The 5,599-nt window shown below is 59.9% G+C and overlaps 1 pseudogene; it reads left to right on the top strand.

Annotated features, from left to right (window-relative positions):
* UNC93B2 (unc-93 homolog B2 (pseudogene)) lies at positions 280–5,072 on the top strand (annotated as a pseudogene).

Genomic DNA, 5,599 nt, shown 5'->3' with positions numbered 1-5,599 from the left:
TTTCTGTTCCTGGTTGTGCTGGGGGTCTCAGAAATCTTATTCAAAATTTTGCTACCCTCCCCCACTGGTTGTCCTTTTCATAGACATCTCACCCACGATAGCAGGGAATGAGTCCCTCTAAACTATTCCATCAGGAATAGTAAGAGCCAGCCCCTCTTCCCCCCCTGGCTCTTAGGACCCCCATCGCAGGGGGGTGAGGCACCCCCCGCGATGCAGGGAGGGCTGAGACTGGGGTCTGGGCTGTTCCAGACTTCAACACTCACCCCTTGTCCCCCCGCAGGGTTATGGTGTGTGCTCGGTGGGGCTGGAGTGGCTGGCTTACCTCCTCGTGGCTTACAGCCTGGGCGCCTCAGCCGCCTCACTCCTGGTTCTGCTGGGCCTGTGGCTGCCACACCCGGTGCCCCTCGTGGCTGGAGAAGGGGTGCACCTGCTGCTCACCTTCATCCTCTTTTTCTGGGCCCCTGTGCCTCAGGTCCTGCAACACAGCTGGATCCTCTGTGTGGCAGCCGCCCTTTGGGGTGTGGGCAGCGCCCTGAACAAGACTGGACTCAGCAGTGAGTATAGCTGTGGGCACTGGGGGGGGGCAGGGCAGGTGGCTTTATGGCTATCTGTGGGTGGTTGGCTAGACATAGACATCGCAGGGACAGATATGGGGTCCCATGGTCACATAGGGTCCTGTGGACATGGCAGAGGCAGGTGGGGCTTCCTGTGGACACTCCGGGGCTGGAAGGGAAGTCTCATGGACACACTGGGACAGATGGGTAGGGCGTGGACACTCTGGAGACAGGTGTTGGGGTTCCACGCCATGGACATTCCGTTAACACCCCAGGGCGGGCACAGGGCCCCATCAACACTGGAGGGTCAGTGTGAAATCTCGTGGCTACACGGGGCAGGTGTGGGGCTCTGTGGACACCCCTTACGGACAGTGTGAAAAACACATCAGGGATTCTCCCTTTTCATACCAGGGGACAGGGCTTACCCTGACATTGTTTTCGTGACACTTGGAGCAGATGTTTTGGTCTCTGCCTCACGGAGCATGTGGTAGGAGCAAGTGGCCTGTTGTACATCCACGGCATAGATACAGACATGGGCCTTTGTATAGAGAGGAGCAGGCCTGCAGCCCCAACCCAGTCTGCTCAGTACCACAGTCCAGGCCCCAGGTCTGGGCTGGTGGGGAACAGGGCCCTGTTTGCAGAAGGCAGTGGGTGGGCCCATGTTCAGCTCCAGGATGCTCCCTGCCCACAGATGGGCACACGCAGTGACACACAACTAGCACACACGGGCACAGTCCTGCGGGGCATCCATGTCAGTGTCTGTTCTGATGGGCGGAAGCTGTGAACAGTTTTGAACGTCATCCTTGGGGGTGTGGAGTGGCAGAGGTCATGCCTGCTGCTGGCAGGGCAGAGGCTGGCTCGGTGTCTCTGTCTGTAGCAGGGGCTGGAGCCTCATACTGCACCACAGTCTCTTGGCCGTTTTGCCCAAGGATAGCCAATTCTGGGCCGAGTCCAACCTGGGTATCTTGGACCCATGTTGTGCCCTGTCTGGTCATGGCATCCCCTCTGCCCAGCTCCATATCCCATCTCCACAGGTGAACCCTGGGGGATCCTTGTCTCTTCATAGCAGCACTGTGGGGGTAAAGTCACCCTGCAGGGCCCCAAGACAGGAGTGTTCATGTCCTGAGTGCCTGGTGAAGGTGTTAATAGTGGCCCCTATGATTTGGCAGGTGCCATGCCCACTTTCTCACTTTAGAACTTCAGAACACAGCACACTATAGGCATAGGCTCATCTCACCATTGGGAAAAGCAGCTCTGGGGAGTTAAGTACCCAAATCACCCACAGAACCAACGTTACAGTCCTGAGAACGAGTGTGCATCTTCTGACTCCCAATCCATTACTCTTGTTGCCCACCCTGGGAGGACTCACCGGAAAGGAAGCCCCCCTCTCCATGCTTAGCTTCAGGTTTGATTTGCAGAGTTGGCAGCTGCAAACAGTTGGATCTCTCTAGTCCCGGCTGAGGAGGAGAAACAGCGCCTGCAAGCTTGGCACTGCACACCTGGGGTTGGGGACAGAACATGACTAAGCACAGAGCTTTCTTCTTTTGAGGCCACGCATGTGGTGTGGAGCGGGACCACCTGCATCCACACAGCCTGGCGAACCTGCTCCTACTTCTGCTTAGCGTGTGAGCAGTGTGGTGACCAGGGTCTCCACCAGGGGGCAGGCCAGGACCGGCTCACAGCACTTTCTAGGCGCTTTCTGGTCCCGGGCTGGGACACATACAGGGCTTAGTAAAGTTCATAGATGGTAGCTCGGCAGCCCCAGGCCCCAGGTGACACCTCTCCCCTGCCTGCCCTGTACTGCCTGCTTGCAGCACTCCTGGGAATCTTGTACGAAGACAAGGAGAGACAGGACTTCATCTTCACCATCTACCACTGGTGGCAGGCTGTGGCCATCTTCACCGTGTACCTGGGCTCCAGCCTGCACATGAAGGTGAGACTGGGCAGGGTTGGGGGCCCCATGCCCAATGACAGGTACTTCCTTAGCCCCTGCCCTGGCTTCACAGCTTCCTAAACGCCACCCCTTCCCTAGCCAGTCTCTGGGCCAAGGCCCCATTCCTGCAGCCCACTGGGTGGCCCCCAACTCAGCACCCCACTTACTGGCCCACCTCCAGCCAGTCTCAGTTTGCCCATCTCTGAGGGGATTTGTGGGTGCATCACAGCCATCCTGTGGGTTGTTTGGTACCCTGTTCTCCAGATGTTGGGTCTGTCTCCCTTCATGGCCTGAAGGGGAGCAGGCTCCTCATGTTCTGCTCCCAAAAGATGGTGGCTCGGTCTAGGAAGTCCCAGTTGCTAAACATTTTTTAAAAATAGAACTAAAGGCCGGGTGCAGTGGCTCACGCCTGTAATCCCAGCACTTTGCGAGGCCGAGGCGAGTGGATTGCCTGAGGTAGGGAGTTTGAGACCAGCCTGACCGACATGGTGAAACCTCGTCTCTACTAAAAATACAAAAATTAGCCGGGCATGATGGCAGGTGCCTCTAACCACAGCTACTCGGGAGGCTGAGGCAGGAGAATCGCTTGAACTGGGAGGCGGATGTTGCAGTTAGCCGAGACGGGGCCTTGGCACTCCATCCAGCCTAAACAACAAGAGCGAAACTGCGTCTCAAAAAAAAAAATAAAAATAAAAATAGAACTAAAAATACTAGGGAGTGGGCCGGGAGCAGTGGCTCATGCCTGTAATCCCAGCATTTTGAGACGCTGAGGTGGGGGTATCACCTGAGGTCTGGAGTTCGAGACCAGCCTGGGTAACAGGCTGTAAAACCCTGTCTCTACTAAAAACAAAAATTAGCTGGGCATGGTGGCGCATCCCTGTGATCCCAGCTACTCTGGAGGCTGAGGCACAAGAATGGCTTGAACCTGGAAGATGGAGATTGCAGTGAGCCAAGATCGCGCCACCGCACTTCAGCCTGGAGGACAGAGCGAGACTCTGTCTCCCAAAGAAAAAAGAAAAAAAAAGAAAAAAGAAAAGCAGTGAGTGGGCTGGGCATGGTGGCTCACCCCTGTAATCCCAACACTTTGGGAGGCTGAGGCAGGAGGATTGCTTGAGGCCAGAAGTTCAAGACCAGCCTGGGCAACATAGGAGACCCTGTCTCTACAAGAAATTTAAAAATTAGCTGGGCGTGGTGGCGCGTGCCTGTAGTTCCAGCTGCTTGTGAGACTGAGGTGGGAGGATGGCTTGAGCCTGGAAGATTGAGGCTGAAGTGAGCATGGCACTGCGCTCCAGCAGTGGGTGGGGGAAGGGAGGGAGGGGGCGCGGTGGGGAAACGGAGCAACCGTGTCTGGAAAAAAGAAAAGAGCAGGAAGTATGCATACAGATATGTGTGTGTGTACTGAGCTATGGTGTGAAATCATTCCTGACTGCGGGTTATAGTCAAAACCCCATGAAAAGCATCACTACAGCCCACGGGTGTGTCAGGGACACAGTGTTGTGAGCCCTGGGAAGGCAGGGCCTGTGGCCAGCACTTTATCAACACTGGCGCATGCACCCTAAGAGGCAAAGGGATTTGCATTGTCCCCTTACAGCGTGGGACACTGAGGTCGCCAGGGGCATGGCGACTGTAAGGGACAGTGCTGGATGTGAGCCTCGCCTGCAGGAGGCGGTCCAGGAAACGTGGGTGGAGGGGCTGGAGAAATTGAGGGCCGCGTGGCCCGGGAGGCTCCCGGAGGAGGGAAGGGCCTATCTCAGCGAGGGGTATAGGCGGAGAAGGTGCGGGGCGAGGCGGCCGCGGGTCCCTGGCATCCCTCTCCTTACGCCCAGGCTAAGCTGGCGGTGCTGCTGGTGACGCTGGTGGTGGCCGCGGTCTCCTACCTGCGGATGGAGCAGAAGCTGCGGCGGGGCGTGGCCCCGCGCCAGCCCCGCATCCCGCGGCCCCAGCACAAGGTGCGCGGTGACGGCTACTTGGAGGAGGACAACTCGGACGAGAGCGACGCGGAGGGCGAGCATGGGGACGGCGCGGAGGAGGAGGCGCCGCCCCCGGGGCCCAGGCCTGGCCCCGAGCCCGCTGGACTCGGCCGCCGGCCCTGCCCGTACGAACAGGCGCAGGGGGGCGACGGGCCGGAGGAGCAGTGAGGGGCCGCCTGGTCCCCGGACTCAGCCTCGCTCCTCGCCGGCCTCAGTTTACCACGTCTTAGGTCGGGGGGACCCCCTCCGAGTCTCGCGCTGTCTTCGAAGGCCCCTGTCTCCCTTCCCCCACGTTGGGGACGCCCCTCCCAGAGCCCGGGTCACCTCCGGGCTTCCGCAGCCCCCTCCAAGGCGGAGTGGAGCCTTGGGAACTCCCCGGCCAAGCACAGGGGTTCGAAAATACAGCTGATACCCCGCGGGCCCTTAGCACGCGCCCCAGCGCCGGAGCAGGGTCAGGGTCTTCTTGCGACCCGGCCCCGCTCCAGATCCCCCCAGCTCTCGGCCGCGGACCCGGGCCGCGTGTGAGCGCCCTTTGCACCTCCTATCTCCAGGGTCCGCCGAGAGCCACGATTTTTTACAGAAAATGAGCGATAAAGAGATTTTGTACTGTCCTGACTGGAGAGTCCCAGGCCGCGGGGGACGGAGCGCCCCTGGGATGCACGCCCGGCTGGCCCGGCCTCTGGGCGCGGTGGTGAGAGGCCCTGACCTAGGGGGACCGCGGGGTGTGGGGAGTGCGGAGCCCCACTGGGGGCGGGGCGAGGTGTCCGTAGGCCCCGCCCACCAGCCCCTCCTCCCTCCTGAGGCCCCGCCCCCCCATGCCTGCCTGCCTTTGCCAGCCTCAGCCAGGAGAAGGGAGCGGGGGAGCGGCTGGCAGAGACAGAGGAGGGTGTGACGGCGTTGCTGGTCCCCCATGGGTCCAGAGGGCGAGACAGACTCCGAAGGCACACCCTCCAGGGGCCTGTGTAGGCATCCTCGGCCCTCCAGCGACCACCCCCGCGTCGGACAGGGTCCACTTCCGAGCCACGGTGGGGTCACCCTGTGCCCAGTAGGGGCCTTGGAAGTAGTGGTTGGAGGCCAGGTACGCTCGGTTACTACCCTTTCCTGGCTACAGCCTCAGCTGCGATGCCCAAGAGAAACAGGCT

This window comes from Homo sapiens, chromosome 7 (genome assembly GCF_000001405.40).
Source record: "Homo sapiens chromosome 7, GRCh38.p14 Primary Assembly".
NCBI classification, from domain to species: Eukaryota; Metazoa; Chordata; class Mammalia; order Primates; family Hominidae; genus Homo; species Homo sapiens.
The sequence above is the reverse complement of the archived record's forward strand: the minus strand, read 5'-3'. Positions and strand labels throughout refer to the sequence as shown.